This window comes from Homo sapiens, chromosome 11 (assembly GCF_000001405.40).
Source record: "Homo sapiens chromosome 11, GRCh38.p14 Primary Assembly".
Lineage (NCBI taxonomy): Eukaryota > Metazoa > Chordata > Mammalia > Primates > Hominidae > Homo > Homo sapiens.
The window spans coordinates 130499570-130520589 of record NC_000011.10 but is presented as its reverse complement, the minus strand read 5'-3'; the positions used below and the strand labels follow the sequence as shown (position 1 = coordinate 130520589).

The 21020-nt window shown below is 43.4% G+C and overlaps 4 annotated features.

Annotated features, from left to right (window-relative positions):
- Positions 201 to 702: an enhancer, noted in NCBI's record as "H3K4me1 hESC enhancer chr11:130389783-130390284 (GRCh37/hg19 assembly coordinates)". NCBI's record gives its function as "activates a minimal SCP1, AML or CMV promoter by ChIP-STARR-seq in primed H9 embryonic stem cells {active_cell/tissue: H9 hESC(primed)}" and the evidence as "EXISTENCE:reporter gene assay evidence [ECO:0000049][PMID:30033119]".
- Positions 3029 to 3548: an enhancer, noted in NCBI's record as "OCT4-NANOG-H3K4me1 hESC enhancer chr11:130386937-130387456 (GRCh37/hg19 assembly coordinates)". NCBI's record gives its function as "activates a minimal SCP1, AML or CMV promoter by ChIP-STARR-seq in primed H9 embryonic stem cells {active_cell/tissue: H9 hESC(primed)}" and the evidence as "EXISTENCE:reporter gene assay evidence [ECO:0000049][PMID:30033119]".
- Positions 8177 to 9376: an enhancer, noted in NCBI's record as "P300/CBP strongly-dependent group 1 enhancer chr11:130381109-130382308 (GRCh37/hg19 assembly coordinates)". NCBI's record gives its function as "activates an origin of replication core promoter dependent on BRD2, BRD4, P300/CBP, MED14 and CDK7 cofactors, with strong dependence on P300/CBP, by STARR-seq in HCT116 cells {active_cell/tissue: HCT116}" and the evidence as "EXISTENCE:reporter gene assay evidence [ECO:0000049][PMID:35650434]".
- Positions 11141 to 11642: an enhancer, noted in NCBI's record as "NANOG hESC enhancer chr11:130378843-130379344 (GRCh37/hg19 assembly coordinates)". NCBI's record gives its function as "activates a minimal SCP1, AML or CMV promoter by ChIP-STARR-seq in naive H9 embryonic stem cells {active_cell/tissue: H9 hESC(naive)}" and the evidence as "EXISTENCE:reporter gene assay evidence [ECO:0000049][PMID:30033119]".

The following is a 21020-nucleotide window of genomic DNA, read 5'->3' as shown; positions in this document are numbered from 1 at the left end:
ATAAATGCCTTATCCTGGTTTTCAAACCCTTTTCTCCTTATTCCCCAAGACTCCCACGTCTGCCTTCCTCCCTGACGCCTCCCAGGCAACACCCAAGCTGTCCTGTGCTCCACCCCGAGTAGCCCTCCTTTCCCACACAGCTTGTGACACCACTGCCCACCCCCAGGGATACAGAGGAAACCAGCCACCTCCAAGGCCAGGCAGGCGGTGCCATTCCCACAGCCATCACCCATAATCCTTCAACACCAACCAGCTCCGCTGGAAGCAGCCCAAAGGCCTCTAATGCTGAGAGTGACATCCAAACCAGAGCTTTCCGTGAGTGTGAGGCTGGAAAGACCACACACAGAAGACGTGCACAGGCCTCCACCCAGGCCTCACACAGACACCCAGATCGCTACACCTCACACACCATGATACACACAACAGTCCCTCTCGGGATATCCTGCCGCCTCCACCCCAGACAAAAACAATGCTGTTAAGTACATGGCCCACTTAACAGTCTTTTTCTGAGCCTGCAGAACCTTCCATCCACTCACCATCACATTCAGATGCGTTGTGCTATAGCAGAAGGGAGAGACCAGGCCTCACACAGACACCCAGATCGCTACACCTCACACACCATGATACACACAACAGTCCCTCTCGGGGTATCCTGCTGCCTCCACCCCAGACAAAAACAATGCTGTTAAGTACATGGCCCACTTAACAGTCTTTTTCTGAGCCTGCAGAACCTTCCATCCACTCGCCATCACACTCAGACGCGTTGTGCTATAGCAGAAGGGAGAGACCGGAGCCTAAAGCAGGAATGTGACCTTCAGGTTGCATAACCCCCTGGAAAGATGGGGAAACCCAAGTGCACGCTAAATGTCAAGTACTATCTATTCTAGGAATTTTAGGAAGAAAAAAAAAACAAAAACAAAAACAAAACAGAAAAAAAAACCCACTAATATCCCTCCTTTTTTGGCAAGAAGAATGAGGTCTGTGATGCCAGCAATTCTGGCCGTGTGCTTGGTGGAGATTCCACGGTCCGCTCTCAGCCCCAGGTTCACCCTGAGCGGCTCCACCTTGGTTTGTTTTATGTACAAACTAAGTAAACTTTAGTTTGAAGGAAGAATGCCATAGCTAAAAACATGTTCATGCAGTTCCCATATCTCCACTTCTACCCAAACTTGGAGGTTCAACCTGTATGAAGCTTTGGCCCCACCTCTTCCCCTCCCCTTCAGCCTTCTCTGCACTCTTACACATACTCACACATGTCGTTCCTTCTAAGCCATGGCTTGTTGTTCTTGGCTAGGAAAGGGCTACTTGCAGATACCAGGCCTGAATGGCAAAGAAGGCCAAGGTGGCCACCAGCCTTTGCTCTGGGGCCAATATTTTGTCTGGCAAGGATGTTTATACTCCCAGCATCAAGCTCCAGAATGCCGAAACACAGCTTTCTGCTACCTCCTTGGACCCTGGGGTCCCCTAATCCTTTGGGTTTCTGCAAACCCAGAACTCTGTGTTGGGAAACATGGGGTAGAGGATAGGAGAGATGTGATCTTGAAGCTATTGCTGGGAAATAGAAGAATTTGTGGAAAATCACTCAGCTGTTCTCTAGTTTGTCTTCCCACAAAAACTTGGTTCTAGGAGGAGGCCGTTTCTGACGTTCTTTAAGTTATCCATAGATATCACTATATGCATGACCCAGCCCTGGGCACTAAGAGGAGAACAAAAAGAAAGATTTCCTGTCTATAAGGAACCAACTATTCTATCTATAAGAATCCAACCATCCAATGGAGAGAGAAGACATAGCCCAGTGGGATCTTCCTGCCTATCACACAGACAAAACCAATTCACCAAAACCATGGCATTGCAATAAAGAAAGAGTTTAACTGATGCAAGACCAGCCATACCACGTGGGAGACAGAATTATTACTGAAATCAATCTCCCTGGAAGTTCCAAGGTTAGGAGTTGGGCAAGGGATAGCTTGGTGGGCAGGGGGCTAGGGAGTGCTGATTGGTTGGGGGATGAAATTACAGAGGTGTGGAAATTGGTCCTTATGCACTGAGTCCACCTCTGGGTGGAGGCCATGGGTCTCGTTGTATCATGAGTCACAAGTCTAGGTAGAATTAGCCAATCATCAGAAATGCAAAAGTCTGAAAAGACATCTCAAAAGGCCAATCTTAGGTTCTACAATAGTGATGTTATGTACAGGAGTGATTGGGGATGTTATAAATCTTGTGACCTCTGGAACAACGGCTGGTTATCGTTTAACCACAGCTACACCTTAGCAGAATTCAGGCCCCTCTCATAACCCTAACCTTGTGGCCTTTCATTAGTTTTATGAAGGCAGTTTAGTTTTGAGAAGCACTATTATCATCCTTGCTTTAAGGTTAAACTATAAACTAAATTCCTCTGAAAGTTAGGTTGGCCCATGCCCGGTAATGACCAAGGACAGCTTGGAGGTTAGAAGCAAGATGGAGGCAGCCATGTTAGATTTTTCTCACTGTCATAATTTTGCAAAGGCGGTTTTAGGACCAAGGCTGCATGCCAAGCCAAGGAAGAAGCTCAGAGGAGATGAACTTGAGGAGTCTTCATGGGAAGATGGGACTCCAATGGGGTCTTAAAGCGCTTGGGCAGGGAAAGGGATGGATGGAAAGCATGTCAAGTGACCAAAAGTAACCTAGAGAAGACTAGAAGGGGAAATGTGCCAGAAGGGCTTAGAGGCTGCTGAGGAGAACAGTGGTGGTGCTACATCTGGGGTATGGCTGAGAATACCCCCGCATACGGAAAAGTGCCATAGCATGATTGCTTAGTGTCAGGCAGCTTGTTAATTGACGTAAGTAAACAACGTCTTGGCCAGGAACCCTGGCTAACTCCTGTAATCCCAGCAATTTGGGAGGCCAAGGCAGGCAGATCACCTGAGGTCGGGAGTTCGAGACCAGCCTGGCCAACATGGCAAAACCGTGTCTCTACTAAAAATACAAAAATTAGCCAGGCGTGGTGGCGGGTGCCTGTAATCCCAGCTACTCGGGAGGCTGAGGCAGGAGAATCGCTTGAACTCAGGAAGCGGAGGTTGGAGTGAACCAAGATCGTGCCGCTGCACTCCAGCCCGGGCGACAGAGCGGATATTTATATTCCCTCTGGGAGGTAGGTAGTGTTATCCCAATAGTGGAGAGGAGGAAGGTGAGGTTCAGAGAGGTGAAGTCACTTGCCCAAGGCCCCATCCCATCCTTCCTAACAAAGCCTCAGCTTTCTCTTCTCTAATCACAGTGCTTCTTTGGTTGGGCCCAACCTTTCTAGTTTCTATAATTGCTGGAAGAATGTTTTCTCCTGTGAGACCCGAAAACTTCCTGAAGGCAGATTCACCTTGATTGTTCCCCCACAGCATGTAACATCTTTAACAAAGCAAGTGGTTTCTTTTTCATTCATTCATTCATGGCTTGAACTAGTGACCTGAAGGAAATAGACGTTAAAAGTCTTGAATATTAATTAAGCACTGACTTTATGAAAGTAGATTCCTCAAGAAAGTGTAGGTGGAGCTATACCTGGCTCCACACAGATCTGCAAAATGTTAAATGAATGAAGCAAATGACTTTGAGCCACGAGGAGGAGGTGGTAACTGAGCACCTTCCCTGTGCGAGGCATCATAGAGGACTTTCTTTAATTTAATGCAGACATCAAACTGCAGGGTGATTATTATTCTCCCCATTTTATGAAGAAGAGCCCCCCTCTGGCTCAGAGAATGTAAGCAGGTGGTCTGAAATCACACAGCAGGTAAAGGGCAGCGCTCAGATGCAAGTATAGGCTGCAACCACCGCAGAACATTGTACTCTGTGTTCGGCCTATATGCCTGAGCTGCCAGTGGAGGAACAGGAGTCTCAAAACAATAGCTCATTCACCTCCTGAGAAGCCAGGGGCCATGCTTTGCCTCCTCAGAAGGACCTGCCAAAATATCTGTGCTCTGGGGGCCTGGGGCACTTGAGGCCCCTCCTGCTGGAGAAGCCTCATTCCCTGCAGCTCCAGGGGTCCCTGGAGACACCACACCCCACCTCCAGCCCCTCTGGGCCTTCCCTTCCCCAACAGCAACATGCTCTGAAAATAGCCAAGGAAAGGAAGTGCAGCCTCAGACCCTGGATGGCACTCAGCCTGACAGCCTTAGGAAAAGCTGAGGTCGCCAGCATGCACTGTGCCTTGGGGGCCTCAGCCAGCACTTCCCTCCACAGAGCAAACATCAAACCCAGGTGCTGAGGATGGGCGGATTGGAAGGGCAGAAACACAGGGCAGGTATTTTCCTGAAATTCCTGGAAAGCAGAGAGGCAGCTGAACAGGGGAAGCTCTTCTGCTTTTCTCCCCATTCTGGCTCCAGGTCTTGATTTTGCGCCTGGTGGCCCCTGGTGTGACAGAGGTGGGTGCTAGGAGCTGGGGGAGTTGAGGGAATCCCAGCCCTGCTTCATCTGTGCTCAGCTCACTTACCCTCTTCACCTACCCCCAAGTGCATGCTCAATGTTGAGCTGAAAGGCCAGTCGCTGTGGGAAATTTGTCATCCAAACTGGCAAACTCTGAGAGTGCAAGGAGGCATTGTTAGTAATTATGCTGTGATGACAGATGTAAATTGAAACTGGGGCAAACTAGGGCATTTGATCCTCCTGGTTATAGGGCTCAGGGCAAAGCCTTTGAAGGGCAAGTCATGAGGAGTTTGCCTTTTAAGGAAAAATCATTCATTTTGGTTTAAAGTAGAGAGGTTCTACTTCCAGATTTTATATATATATATATACACACACACACACACACACACACACACACACACATATATATAGGAATCCCTAGAGTTTCCTCTGTCCTCTCTACTGTAAGTCTTTGAACCCAGTGAAAGTAAGTAGGAGAGAATTAAAGACACTGTCTACTGACCTCGAAAATCAAAAACATACTGTGGCAATTATTCTATCGACAGCTTGGCTCCAAGCTATTTCTACATTTGTAGACCTAACATCCTCACAGGTATAACTTGTATGCAAAAGCACAATAGCCCTCCTGCTACCCCAGTGTGGAATGGTGACTCTAAATACAGCCTCAAAGGACAGCTCAGATGAGGTGGAACAAATGGAATCCAGGCTCCAGAGCCATGAGTTTCTGGAATCAAATCCCAGTTCTGCCTACTAATAGCTACCTTGGCCAAGCTGATAGCTTTTGTCCAGCCTTCATTTTCTCCTCTGTTATTTCTCTTGCTCTGCAATACCCAGCTACACCAAAAAGCGACACAGAACGAACTTTGACTGCTCCCCTTCTCCCCGCTCTCACCTTCATGAATCTCTACATTGGCCACAAACTTCACATCCAAGGGGTGGCAGCTGGAGAAGGGAGAATTACCAAAGCCTAACCAACAAGGGAGGAGCAAGGAAGGAGGACAGAGGGAGCTTCTGCAGGAAGAGGGTGTCCTCACATGGCCTTCCCAGGCTGCCTGGCCAGGAAGCGTTCAAGGATGGATTTCAGTGCAGGGTGTCACTTTTCAAGATGTCCATCTCTATGCTGGTCCACGGCCCAAGCCCAACCTGCCCTGCTCCTTCAGCTCTGCTGAAAAATGAGTAGCCGTGTTGGCTCAGATGTCACCTCCTCCCCCTAGCCCAAGCACTGTGCTTCAAATCACTGCATCACTTTTTTCAGCCTCAGCGTGAACTGCACCCAGCACTATGCTAAACAGGGACAGAGGCCACATCTGCCTCCTAAGAGCTCGTGATGGAAATGGGACCCACGGGTAGCTGACTCAGCCACCTTGTCAAGCCATTGGGCCCCTGTTCAGGAACCTGCAGATTGGATTCAGAACAGGTGCTTTGAACCTGGTCCTTCACTGAAGGTGGTGATGAGGAAGCAGAACCTCCATTCATTCTGAGGAGTGGGGGTGATAGGGGAGATGGGAAGAAGGTGCCCAAAGGCAGGAAGCCCCCCCTGGAGCAGAGTTGGGGAGCCAATATTGGAGTCCCTTGGCCTGTCTAGTAGACAGTCCTTCTATCAGATGACCCAACATCTGCAATGTGGACTCTTCCTGTGGGCTCACTGGGCAGGTCATATGCACTCACAGAACCCAGATTGCAAGAGCATACAACCATCTGCCCACAAACCAAGCTGTGTGGGCTCTCTGCCCAGATTCTGTTATTTGGGTTCTGAGACTGATCTGGAGCTGACTCTCACTTAAATCAATCTGTGCAATTTGCCTCCAGCCCACTCTGAATCCTAAGAGATCTATACTCCAGAACAACTTGGTATTTGGCAATCTGAGTCTTTGAATCTCTGCTTAGAACTCAGCATCTCAGAGCTTTCTCACTCATATCTATCTTTCATCTTCCTAGCCCGGAGCCAATCAGTCCTCCACTTCAGCCCTGGTGGCTCTCTTACCTTACAAGAGAGGTTCCCAGTTCCAGGTTTGGTCAAGACCAGTGGTTTTCAAAGTGTGGCTCCCAGACCTATTAATGGCATCAACATCACATGGGAATTTGTTAGAAATGCAAAATATTGGGCCATGTGCGGTGGCTCATGCCCATAATCCCAGCACTTTGGGAGGCCGAGGCGGGTAGATCATGAAGTCAAGAGATGGAGGCCATCCTGGCCAACATGGTGAAACCCCGTCTCTATTAAAAATACAAAAATTAGCTGGGCGTGGTGGTGCACGCCTGTAGTCCCAGCTACTTGGGAGACTGAGGGAGGAGAATCGCTTGAACCTGGGAGGCGGAGGTTGCAGTGAGCCAAGATCGCGCCACTGCACTCCAGCCTGGCAACAGAGCAACAGTCCATCTCAAAAAAAGAAATGCAAAATATTGGCCTCTAGACCCTAGACCTACTAAATCAGAAATTCTTAGGATAGGTCCCAGCAATCTGTGTTTTCCCAAGCTCTCCAGGTTTAAGAACCACAGATCTGGACTCCCTCCCTCCCTCCATGAGAACTGGAATAGGATGGCAGGTGCTGGGGGTGAGAGGGCCAAGCAGAAAGAGCCCCAGGAACCTGCACACAGTAGGGCAATGGCTGAAGGGAAGGAGAAGGTCTGTCTGCCCTCTGCTGAGTTAGTAGGGAGCCTGGCTTTCCCCAGGCAGCAAAAGTCCAGGAATCTGTCCCTCCATGAGCCTAATCTGTCCCCAGAAGAGCCCGCCCATATGTCCCTGCAAACAACACAGCTTGCTCTACCACACAGCAGATGTTCCTGAGAGCTGAGCCATTTTAATAGTCAATGGGCAGCCATAAATCATCAGCTGGAGCCATGAAGAGGCTGAAGGGGAAGTGAGGCCACTTGGCCTGAGCCCCAGCATGAGAACTAGGTGTGAGCTCTGTTTGAGCCAGCACACAGGCATCAACCCAGATAGGGAAGGATGGGCAGGGCTCCTCCGCAGGCCAGCTCAGAGCTCAGGCTACAGCCAACTTTCACGACCAGACATCCTGAGCCGGGGGCAATGGGAACCAGCCAGGGGCCCATTCATCTGCTTCTGTGGGCAGTCTGGAAAAAGAGCTCCATGCCCAACTTCTCCTTCCTACCCACCTGCCCTCTTCTCCCCTCACAGTCCCTACTGAGGTTCTTCCCCAGGCACAAGGTGGGGACAGAAAATTAGCCCAAAAACTCCAGGCCATTTGGGGAAGCCCAGGGAACCAGCTGCCTGGAGAAGAGCCTTCTCCAATGTTACCCCTTCTGACCTCCCAAGTGCAGCCTTCCCTATTTCCGACCTGGACCAGACACCGGATATCCAGCCATCCTCTGTGCTGAGGCTCTGGTGACGTCCTCTCTAAACTGAGCGTCCACCTGTGACACCCCCTGCTGAGTCTGGAGTTCAGCACAGAGAACTCCACAAACTCCAGAATCCCTTGAGGCCAGTTCTCCAAAGTTTTAGGGAACAAGGTAAGCCTCAGAGAGGGGCTATGGGGTAACCACACCCTGGCCATTTGTCAGGAGGGCAGAGAGGGAAGAAATCAACGAGGACTTGACAGGGAGGGGGAGTGTAACTACAATTTTAAAAGAATTGAAATGCTGGGCCTATTAAATGTATAAAAAGATACCAAAATAAAAGTTTCAGCAGAAGAGCCTACAAAATAAAAATTGGGACCACTGTGAGCATGAGACCAGTCCCAGTGTGGGGACCTCAAACAGTGAATGTTTCAGAACAAACTGCACCACCCTGGAACATTTGGGCAGATCAGTAATACAGGAAGTCGACAGAGAGTTGTGGGGAAGGGTTCAGGATTTCTGTGGAGAGAGCCGTGGATGAGCTGCGATCTCACCCCTCTCCCATGTGGGGTTACCTTCTTACCCCAAGTCTGGTGAGAAGGGGCTTCCAGGCATTCCTCAGAAGACTGCACTGTGGCTCTTGCCTAAAGCCAATCGGGAAGACTGAATATTAAATCTAGTTCCAAATGTTTATTAGTATCTTGCACTGGACATTGCCATTTCTGAACTGAGATTAGGGACTTAAAGTGTTGACAGGATGTACCTCATGTTTCCTTCTAGGGTGGGCAGGCAATATTGCACCCACTGAATAATTTTAAAGGGACAATGAGACACAAGAAATATGAAACTGCATTTTGATCCTGCCATGAGTTGTATGCACTCAAAGTGATCTAGCGCAGAGGCTGTGGTGGTTCATGTGATGTGTCACCATGACTGGGCCAAGGTAAACCCAGATAGCTGGTGACACATTATTTCTGGGTGTGTCTGTGAGGGTGTTTCTGAAAAAAAATTAGCAATTGAAGCAGCAGACTGGGTAAAGAGGATACGCCCTCACCAGTGTGGGCAGGTGGCATTCAATCCATCCATTGTGGGACCAAAAAGAACAAAAAGGCTGAGGAAGGCCAACTTTTCTCTCTCTCGAGTTCGGTTATCCCTCTTCTCCTGTCTTTGAACATCATCTCCTCTGCTTCTCAGGCCTTCCAATTCAGACAGAATTGCACACCTGCATCTCTGGGTCTCCAGCTTGCATATATAGAGACAAATATAGAAATCAATATCTATAGATATAGCTATGGATAGATAGATAGATAGATAAATAGATAGATGATAGATAGATAGGATATCAATTTATCTATAGATATACCTATTTATGGCTAGATACAGCCATAATATGTTATGGCTATAGCTGTCTATCTATCTATAGATATAGCTACTTTAGCTCTTGTAGCTATATCTATAGACAGATAGCGATAGACGATAGATAGATAGATAGATAGATGGATAGATAGATATTTTTCATGGATAGGTAGATATATAGGATAGATATATATATCCTATGTATATCTATAGGTAGATAGATATACATAGGATATGGATCTATAGATAGATATATATAGGATATGGATAGATAGATATCTCCTATATTTATCTATAGATATCCTATATATATACATCTATCCGTAAATAGCTATATCTGTAGATATCTAGGAATAGCTGTCTCCTATGGGTTCTATTTTTCTAGAGAACCCTGACTAACACAGAAGCTGCGTATTGAGCACTTACTATGTACCAAGCATTTCCTCTGCAGTCAATTATTGCTATCCTCACTTCAAAGCTGAGGAAGCTGAAAAGGTTAAAGAACCCTCCAGGTGACCCAAAATTACAACTGGAGAAGCTGAGGTTGAACTAGCATGTCTCTAATCCGAAGCCCTTTTTCTTCATCTCCTCAAGTTCAACACAATTCTTTCTGCCTGTAAGTTCATCCCAGATTCTAAAACACAGGGGTAGGAATCAGAGAGAACTCCCATGTCTGTTCACATACAGCTAAATTTCCCAGGGACTTATACAATCTGCATTTCATGTCTGCAGCACTAGTATAAGCCCCAGGCGTGGCCCAAGGAGAACAATCGGGCCCTTGGCTCCCCCCAGCACAAGCCGCTCCCCCAGAAGGAGCAGGCCTCACACAGGCAACAGTGTGCAAGGGGGCTCTTAGCCCCAGCAGGCACAGAGATGTGAAGTAGGAAGGGTTTTCCTTTTTCGTCTTTACCACATGCTTTGCAGTCACGACTGCACTTTAAAGTCAGTATCAGATTGGTGGAGCTGGTCAAGATCCAAGACAAATGCGTGATGTTTGTTTTTAAACCAGGCCTCCTGAGCTGAAAACCCTGCAAGGGAAACTCCTCCTTTTACAGACATTCATGGGCACAGCCAGAGAGCTCCTTACATGAAGGAAGATTTTTCTTTTCTAGAAACTTTTCAGAAACTCGGGGATACAAACTAAGTCAAGTACAGATTTGAGTGGCCTGGTCAAAACAAGTCTAATTTCCTGTGAGGCAGACAGATAAGACAGACCTCATCCACAGAAAATGACTTGTTTGGGTTTGGAGACTGGAAACAGGGTAGAGATGGCCCTCAGATCCTGGGCACAACCTGACCCTCTAAGAATCATGTCCAAGTGTCTTCCTGGGACAGTGGCATCCTGACAGGTGCCAAGGATCACAGCAAGGAAGATTCTGGCAAAACCACGTAACTCCTTCAGTTAACAACCCATCAGTGAGCCAGCAGCCGGCCAGGCCTCCCAACAGAAAACACAGTGATGAGAATCTTGGGCTTTGAATCAGGGGCAGATTCAGAGCCCAGCCCTGCCCTCACCATGCATGGAACCCTTGGTAACCTTCTTACCAAGACCCAGTTTCCTGATCTGTAAACTCAGGGTAATAGCAATGCCCTAGAGGCTGACTGTGAGGATGCAATAAGATGACATTGGTAAAGCAGCCTGCATCGTTCCTGGCTATTAAATCTTAATATTCAGTGTTAAATACATGTGCACTTAATAAAGTATAAAATAATTATGCTGCTTTATGACAGTCTTGGGAAAAAAAATTAAATTAAAAAAATTATAAAGCTTCCCTTCCCCCAGGATTCCAAGCCCTAATTTAGATCATTGCAGTAATTTTCGTGAGGTTTCAAAAGGAGTGCTGAATTTCCGCTTTATGGAAGATATGGTAGTCATACTTCTTCCTATTCCTCCCACTAAGTACAACTAAAAGCCCTGAATACTCTATATAATATAAACATAAGAGAACTCTGAAAGCTGGAGAGAAAAAGGCAAATCAGCTAGGAATCTTGGGACTCAAGGACAACAGTGATGAGCAATCTGGGCTTTCTTTTTGCCTCAACTATACCACAGTTGGAACTGAAGAATACAGCCAAGAGAAAATAAGACAGGCAAGCCCCCCAGCAAAGGCCTGCTCTCTCTAGCCCAAGGAAAGGAACAGCCTAGCAAGACCAAACACTTTTAGAAAATAACTCCTCTACTCCAGCCAAAACATCCCAGAAAAAACTGTAACTCCACTCACACCCACACCAGCAAAGGCCAGAGGGGAGCTACTCTTCACCATCCTCACCAGGCTGATATCAGGCACCACCAAGACCCCTGCAGGGTGCAGTCACAGAAGGCCAAGAAAGAAACTGGGACTTTTATTCTCATTGGATGGTTACAAGATAACCTCCCTCAGAGTGTAGGTGGAGACAAAAAGGGACCTAGAATTCACATGCATGTAGCAACAATGAGATACCCCTCCCCCACTGTGCAGAGTTTATGTCACAGCAGGAAACATGGAAAGCAGCAACAGGCACTCCTACCCCTCCCAGATAAAAGGTATCGGTGGAGGCCTAGTGAGGAGCTGGAAATCCCACCCCCACTCAGCCATAATGAGGATCCCTCTGGATTAGTCCATTCTCAGACTGCTATGAAGAAATATCTGAGACTGGGTAATTTATAAAGGAAAGAGGCTTAATTCACTCACAGTTCTGCATTGCTGGGGAGGCCCCAGGAAACTTACAATCATGGCAGAAGGCAAAGGAGAAGCAGGCACCTTCTTCACAGGGTGGCGGGACAGAGGGAGTGCAAGCAGGGGAAATGCCAGGTGCTTACAAAACCATCAGATCTCATGAGACTCACTCACTATCATGAGAAAAGCATAGGGGAACCCGCCCCCATGATCCAATTACCTCCACTTGGTCCTGCCTGTGACATGTGGGGGTTATGAGGATTATAATTCAAGATGAGATTTTTGGGTGGGGACACAGCCAAACCATATCACCCTCTCTCAGGTGTCCTGAGAGGTCAAGTGGGCAGCCAAGGCTTCTGCTTCCACATGGCAATAAGTAAGTGCCCTTCTGCTGGAATGGTGTTTAAGAAGCGTATTAGTTCTCACACTGCTATAGAGAACTACCTGAGACTAGGTAATTTATGAAGAGAAGAGGTTTCATTGACTCACAGTTCCACAGGCTGTACAGGAGGCATAGCTGGATAGGCCTTGGGAAACTTATGATCATGGCAGAAGGGCGAAGGGGAAGTAAGCATGTCTTCTCATGGTGGCATGAGAAAAAATGAAAACGGAAGTGCTACACACCTTCAAACAACCAGATCACATGAGAACTCACTCACTATCATGAGAACTCACTCACTATCATGAGAACAGCAAGGCGGAAACAGCCCCATGAACGAATCACCTCCTACAAGGCCCCTCCCCAAACATTGAGGATAACAGTTCAACATGATATTTGGGTGGGGACACAGAGCCAAATCAGATCATTTCACCCTGGCCCCTCCCAAATCTCATGTCCTTCTCACATTTCAAAATACACTCATGCCTTCCCAACAATCCCCCAAGTCTTAGCTCATTTCAGCATTAACTCAAAAGTCCAAGTCCAAAGTCTCATCTGAGACAAGGCAAGTCCCTTCCACCTATGAGCCTGTAAAATCAAAAACAAGTTAGCTATTTCCAAGATACAAAGGGAGTACAGGCATTGGGTAAATGCTCCCATTCCAAAAGGGTGAAATTGGCCAAAACAAAGAGGCTACGGGCTCCATGCAAGTCCAAAAACCATAGGGCAGTCATTAAATCTTGAAGCTCCAAAATAATCTCCTTTGACTCCATGTCTCACATCCAGTCCACACTGACACAAGGGGTGGGCTCCCAAGGCCCTGGGCAGCTCTGCACCTCTGGCTCTGTAGGGTACAGCTCCCATGGCTGTTTTCATGGGTTGACATTGAGTACCTGAAGCTTTTCCAGGCACACAGTGCAAGCTCTCAGTGGATCTACCATTCTGGAGTCTGGAAGATAGTAGCCCTCTTCTCACAGCTCCACCATGCAGTGCCCCAGTGGGTACTCTATGTGGGGGCTCCAACCCTACATTTCCCCTCTGCACTGCCCTAGTAGAGGTTCTTCATGAGGGCTCCACCCCTGCAGCAGACATCTGCCTAGACATCCAGCCATTTCTATACATCCTCTGAAATCTAGCAGAGGCTCCCAAACCTCAACTCTTGCCTTCTGTGCACCTGCAGGCCCAACACCACGTGGAAGTTGCTAAGGTGTAGGGCTTGCACCCTCTGAAGCAATGGCCTGAGCTGTTCCTTGGCCTCTATTAGCCACAGCTAGAGCTGGAGCAGCTGGGACACAGGATGTCATGACCTGAGGCTGCACAGAGCAGTGGAGCCCTGGGCTTGGCCCACAAAACCATGTTTCCCTCTTAGGCCTCCAGGCCTGTGATGAGAGGGGCTGCTATGAAGGCCTCTGAAATGCCCTGGAGGCATTCTCCTCATTGTCTTGGCTATTGACATTCAGCTCTTCTTTACTTATACAAATTTCTGCTGCCTTGAATTCCTCCCCAGAAAATGGGTTTCTCTTTTCTACTACATGGTCAGGCTGCAAATTTTCCAAACTTTTATGCTCTTTTTCCCTTTTAAATGTAAGTTCTCTTTGCTTATGCAAATTAGCATAGGCTTTTAGAAGAAACCAGGCCATATCTCGAATGCCTTGCTGCTTAGAAATTTCTACTACCAGATACCCTAAATCATCTCTCTCAAGTTCAAAGTTCCACATATCCCTAGAGCAGGGGCAGAATGCCACCAGTCTCTTTGCTAAAGCATATAAAGAGTGACCTTTGCTCCAGTTCCCTGTAAGATCCTCATCTCCACCTAAGACCACCTCAGCCTGGACTTCATTGTCCATATCACTAATCAGCATTTTGGTCAAAACCATTCAACAAGTCTCTAGGAAGTTCCAAACTTTCCCTCATATTCCTGTCTTCTTCTGAACCCTCCAAACTATTCCAACTTCTGCCTGTTACCCAGTTCCAAAGTTGCCTCCACATTTTCAGGTGTCTTTCTAGCAATGCCCTTCTTCTCTGGTACCAATTTTCTGTATTAGTCCATTCTCACACTGCTATAAAGAACTACCTGAGACTGGGTAATTTATGAAGAAAAGAGGTTTAATTGACTCACAGTTTCACAGGCTGTACAGGAGACAGGGCAGGGGAGGCCTCAAAAAACTTACAATTATGGCAGAAGGGTGAAAGGGAAGCAAATAGGTCTTCACATAGTGGCAGAATAGAAAGAAAGCGAAGAGGGAAGTGCTACCCACTTTCAAACAACCAGGTCTCATGAGAACTCACTCACTATGATAACAGCAAAGGGGAAACAGCCTCCATGAACAAATCACCTCCCACCAGACCCCTCCCCCAACACTGAGAATTACAATTCCACAGGAGATTTGGGTGAGGACACACAGCCAAACCATATCAAGGGGGAGAAAAGCTGAAATAGAAGATTTAAATAACACTCAGTCTCAAAATATAATATTCAAAAGGTACAAGTTTCAATTAAAAATCACTCATCATGCAAGAAATTGGAAAATGAGTTGAATGAAAAAGACACTCTGTAGACCAATACCAACATAAAAAAGATGTTAGAATTGTCTGACAAAGGTTTTAAAACAGCCATCATAAAAGTACTTTAATGAACAATTCATGAGCAGGCTTCGGACAAATAAAAAAAGAAAGGAAAGTGTAAGTAAAGAAATAGTAGGTTAAAGGAAAGAAATAGAATACATTTCTATATCTTTCTAGAAGATATAGAGCCAAATGGAAATTTCTAGAAGATAAAGAGCCAAATGGAAATTTTAGAACAGAAAAATACAATAACTCACTTGATGGATTCAACAGCATAATAGAGGGGACAGAGAAAAGAATCAGTGAACCTTAAGATAGAACAAAAAAAAAATACTCAGTACTAACAACAGAGAGAAAAATAGACTGAAAAAAATGGACAGAGGCTTAAGGACATGTCGATTTGTAACATACACCAAAAAAAATCTGACATTCATATCATCAGAGTCCTGAAAGGAGAGGAGAAAGAGGACAGGGCTGAAAAAAAACTTGAAGAAATAGTGGCTAAAAATGTTCAAATTTAGCAAAAGACAGCAACATGCAGATTCAAGAACCTGAAGAAACTCAAAAGGATAAACACAAAGCAATCCACACCAAACACATTAGAAAAAAACTTCTGAAAACTAAAACAAAGAAAATAACCCACAAGAGAAAAATGACACTTTATGTAGAGAAGAAAAACGATTTGAATGATGGTGTATTTCTCACCAGATACCAAGAAGGCCATGAGGAAATGGCATAACATTTTTCAAGTGCTGAAAGAAAATGATTGTCAAACAAAAATCTATATCCAACAAAAATATCCTTCTGAAATGAAGGGAAAATGAATACATCTCAGATGAAAACTAACATGCCTTGTCACCAACAGGCCTACCATAAAAGAGTGGCTAAAGGAAGTTCTCCTGGCAGAAAGGAAATGACAAAAGAAGGAATCTTGTAACATCAACATGGAAAAACAATGAAAAGAATAAAAATAGGGGTAACTATAATATATTTCTCCATATGTAAATAATGTTTGACAGATGAAGCAAAAATTCTAACACTGTCTGATATGATTCTAAATGTATGTAAGAAAAATTTAATACAAATATAATATAAATGAGGAGGGGCTAAGGGATATAAAAGGAGATTTCTACATGCCACTTAGACTGATAAAATGATGACATCATTAGACTCTTATAAGTTATTTATATATTACTATATTATGTGTATATGCACACGATATAATACCCCGAGCAACCACTAAGAATGCTATATAAAGAATTATATTCATACTACTATAGATATATCAAAATGGAATTCTAGAAAAAAATGTTCAGGTAACCCACAAGAAGGCAGATAAAAGAAAACAGAGAGACTAAAAACAGAGGGAAAAAAACAAAAAATAAAATGGCTGATTTAAGCCTGAATATATCAATAATTACATTAAATGTAAATGGTCTAAATATACCAATTAAAAGACATATTGGCAAAGTGGATTTAAAACATGGCCCAACTATATGTTCTTTACAACATACTTCAAATATAACAATATAGGCAGATTTAAAGTAGAAAAATGAAAAAAAATATGTATCACGCAAATAATAATCAAAGAAAGCATAGCTGGTTACATTAATATCAAATAAAGTCAATTTCAGAGCAAAGAAAATTACCAGAGACAGAGAGGGACATTATATAATAATAAAAGAGTTAATTAACTAATAGACATAGTAGTTCTAAATGTGTATGCAGGCCAGGTGTGGTGGCTCACACCTGTAATCCCAACATTATGGGAGTCTGAGGCTGGAAGATGGCTCAAACTCAGGAATTCAAGACCAGCCTGGGCAACATACCAAGACCTTGTCTCTACAAAAAGTTTAAGAATTAGCTGGGCATGGTGGCACACGCCTGTAGTCCCAGCTACTCAAGAGGCTGAGGTGGGAAGACCACTTGAGCCCAGGAGTTCAAGGCTGCAGTGAGCTATGATTGCACCACTGTACTCCAGGCTGGGCAACAGAGTGAGACCACAGTGTCTCTAGAAATAAATAAATGAATAAATGTGTGTGCACCAAACAACAGAGCTGCAAAATATGTGAAGAAAAAACTGACAGAACTGAAGGGAGAAATAAACAAATTCACAATTACAGTTGGGGACTTTAACACCCTCTCTCAACAACTAATAGAAAAACTAGACAGAAAGTCAGCAAAAACATAAAATAATTCAACACCACCATAACCAAATGAGGCCTAATTGTCATTTATTTATAAGACGCTCCACCCAACAAAAGCAGAATGTACATTCTTTTCAAGTGCTGACAGAACATACATCAAGATAAATCATATCCTGGGAAAACAAATCTTGACAAATTGTTTTTAATTTAAATCATACAGACTCTATTCTCCAACTACAATAAAAATCAAACTAGAAAACTAGAAACCAACACCAGAAAAATAATAGAAGAATACACAATTCATTTCTAAATAATCTAGAGGTCAAAGAGGAAGTCTCAGGAAATATTTTAAAAGACATTGAACTGAATGAAAATGCGACATATCAAAATTTGGGGGACTCAAAGCAGGGCTTTGAGGAAAATTTGTAGAACTAAATGATACATTAGAAAAGAAAAAGTCTTGAATCAATAATCTAAGCTCCCACCTCAAAAAAGCCCAGTGAAAAAAAGAGCAAAATAAACCCAAAGCAAGTGGAAGGAAGGAAATAATAAAGGGAAGAGCAGAAATTAATGAAATCAAAAACAAAAAAAGATAAAAAATTAATAAAACAAAAAAGAGCTTATTTGAAAAGATCAATGAAATTGACGAATCTTTAAGAAGACTGAAAAAGAAAAAGGAAAGAAAATACAAATTAATAATATAAGGAACGAAACACAGGATATCATTACAGGCTCACAGATATCAAGAGAATAATATAGGAATACTACAAACAACTCTCTTACATAAATTTTTTTTCTTTTTTTTGAGACGGAGTCTCACTCTGTTGCCCAGGCTAGAGTCCGATGGCACAATCTCGGCTCAGTGCAACCTCTGGCTCCTGGGTTCAAGAGATTCTCCTGCCCCAGCCTCCCGAGTAGCTGGAATTACAGGTGCTCGCCACCACGCCAGGCTAATTTTCTTATTTTTAGTAGAGACAGGGTTTTACCAGGTTGGTCAGGCTGGTCTCAAACTCCTGACCTCGTGATCTGCCCGCCTCAGCCTCCCAAAGTGCTGGGATTACAGGCATGAGCCACCACGCCCAGCCATAAATTTAACTTAGAAGAAAGAAATCAATTTTTTGAAAGACACAAACTCATAACTCACCCAATATGAAATTAGTAATTTGAATAGTCCTATAACTATTAACAAAATTAAATTTGTAACTTTAAAATTCCAAAAGAGAAATCTCCAGGCCCAGATGGTTTCACTAGAGCATTCTACCAAACATGTAAAGAAAAAATTAACACAATTCTATACTATCTCTTACAAACAACATAAAAGTAGAAAACACTTGCCAATTCATTTAAAGAAGTTAGCATTACACTGATACCAAAACCAGGTAAAGATGGTACAGAAAAAAAGAAAACTACACACCAATATTCCTCATGAATATAAATGCCAATATCCTTAACCAAATATAATCAAACAGAATTCAGCAATACATAAAAGAACTGAACACAGGACCAACTAGGGTTTATTCCAGATATGCAAGGCCGATTCAATTCACAGTCAAGGTCATCCACCATATTAACAGGCTAAAGAAGAAAGTATTCATAATCATAATATTAACCAACAAGGAAAAAGCATTTGACAAAATTCAACACTAGAAATAGAGGTAATCTTCCTCAGTCTGTCAACGAGTATCTACAAAAAGCCTACAGCTAACATTATACTTAATGGTGAAGAATTAATGCTATCTACCCGCCCTTCGTCAAGTCCAGGAACAAGATAAGAATTGCCTACTCTCACTGAGCACTCAGTATAGTGCTGAAGGTTCCAGCCAGTGTGAAGGAAAGAAAGAGAAATAAAAGGCATATAGATCCAAATGAAATTGTCTCTATTTGTAGATGACATTATTATATATGTTGAAAATTCCAACTAACCTATTTTTTCCAAAAAAAAAAACTTCCAGAATTAACGAATGAGTTCAGCAAGCTTGTGAGATACAAGACTTTTTTTTCTTTCTTTTTTTTGAGACAGGGTCTCTCTCTGTTACCCAGGTTGAAGCACAGTGGTGTAATCATGGCTGACTGCAGCCTCAAATTCCTGAGCTCAAGTGATGCTCACACCTCAGCCTCCCAAGTATCTGGGAATACAGGCGCACACCACCATACCCAGGCAATTTTTAAATTTTTTTGTAGAAACAGGGTCTCATCATCTTGCTCAGGCTGGTCTCTAACTCCTGGGTTCAAGTAATCCTCCTACCTTGGCCTCCCAAAGTGCTGGGATTACAGGCATTGGCCACTGCACCCAGCCAAGACAAATATTTTAAGAGTTAATTATATTTCTATACATGAGCAATGAATGTATAGATACTAAAAGTAAAAATACAATATTGCTTACAATAGCTAAAAAAGAATTAAGTACTTGGGTATAAATGTAACACGTGTAGAACTTCTATGCTAAAATCTACAAAATGCTAATGAAAGAAAAAATACCTAGATAAACGGCAATAAATATCTTGCTATGGATTAGAAGATTCAACATGAGGAGAAGATTCTCCTCAAATTTATATACAGATCTAACATATCCTTATTAAAATGCTATCAAGGATTTTTGTAGATATATAGAAAATTATTTTAAAATTTATAAGAAAAGCCAAAGGAACTAGAATAGCTAAAGAAATTTTTTAACAGAAGAATAATTCTAAGAGGAAATCATCTACCCAATTTTAAGACTTACTATGTAGCTACCATAATAAGTACTGTGTGGTATTGGCAAAGGGAAAAATACACAAATCGATGAAACATAACAGAAACATCCAGAAACAAACGTATATAAATATGCCAAACTGGTTATTAATAAAAGGGTAAAAGCAATTTATGAAGGATAGATAGCCTTTTCAACAAATGGCACTGGAACCATTGGATACTCAGAGGCAATAAAATGGACCTCAATCCAAGTCTCACATCTTATAAAAAGAAAAAATTCACTCAAAATGGATCATGGACTTAAACATAAAGCATAAAACTATAAAACTGTTTTTTAAACGAGAAAATCTTTATGATCCAGAACTAGGCAAAGAGTTCCTGGGTGATACCAAAATCACAGTTTCAAAAGGGACAAATGATAAGTGGGACTTCTTCAAAATCAAAAACTTTTGCTCTGCAGAAGACTCTATCAAGAGGTCTACAGACTAGGAGAAAGTATTTGCAAACAAATTTCCAACAAAAGACTATCCTCTAGAATACATAAAGAATGCTCAAAACAAAAATAAATCAACAATCCAACTAGAGAGTGGGCAAAAAGCATGGAGACATTTTATCCAAGAAGACATAAAATAAAAAATGAGCACATGAAAAGATGTTCACATCATTAACCATTAGAGAAATGCAAATTAAAACCATGAGATATCCCTATGCATGTACCAATATGGCTAAAATGAAAAATAACAACAATACTAAATGCTGGCAAGAATGTGGAGAAACAAGATCACTCATTGTTGGTAGGAATATAAAATGGTATAACCACTCTGGAGAAGTTTAGGAGTATCTTATAAAACTTAACATGCAACTCCTAGGCATTTATCCCAGATAAATGAAAATATTTTTATACAAAAACCTATAAATGAATATTTATTTCACCTTTTTTAAAATTAAAGCCAAAAACTTGAAACATCCTTCAGTGGGTGAATGATTTAAAAAATGTGGCACATCTATACTATAGAATACTACTCAGAAATGAAAAGAAACAAACTATTGATACACACAACAATCTAGATGAATCACCAGAGAATTATGCTGATGGCAAAAGCCAAGCCAACTTCTAATTTCCAGTCCAGCATGTAAGGAGCTTAGAAATCACTATTCTAACAAGTTTTAAAAGCTGGGAAAAAAAAAAAAAACCTGAAAATTAACAACTCTTCTTAGATCCATTGGAGAAGTAAGGTCACAGGGCAAACTACCATCCCCAAAATTGGAGAGACAGACAGGTTAACACAGAGAATCACAACTTACCAGAGCAGAAACCCACAATCAGAAACCTTTGTGGAAGGTATTGGAGTAGGAAAACCTAAATTGTAATTAACAAATTGCCAGAGGCTCAGTGTGGACATGTCTCAGAGTTAAAAACTTCAGGGGCAGCCAGTCATGGAGTGAACCATGCACACACACTTTTGTGAGTTTTGCCTCCAGGTTCTCACAGTGAATATTAATTTAAAAGTCCTCTTGTGGGCCAGGAGCAGTGGTTCA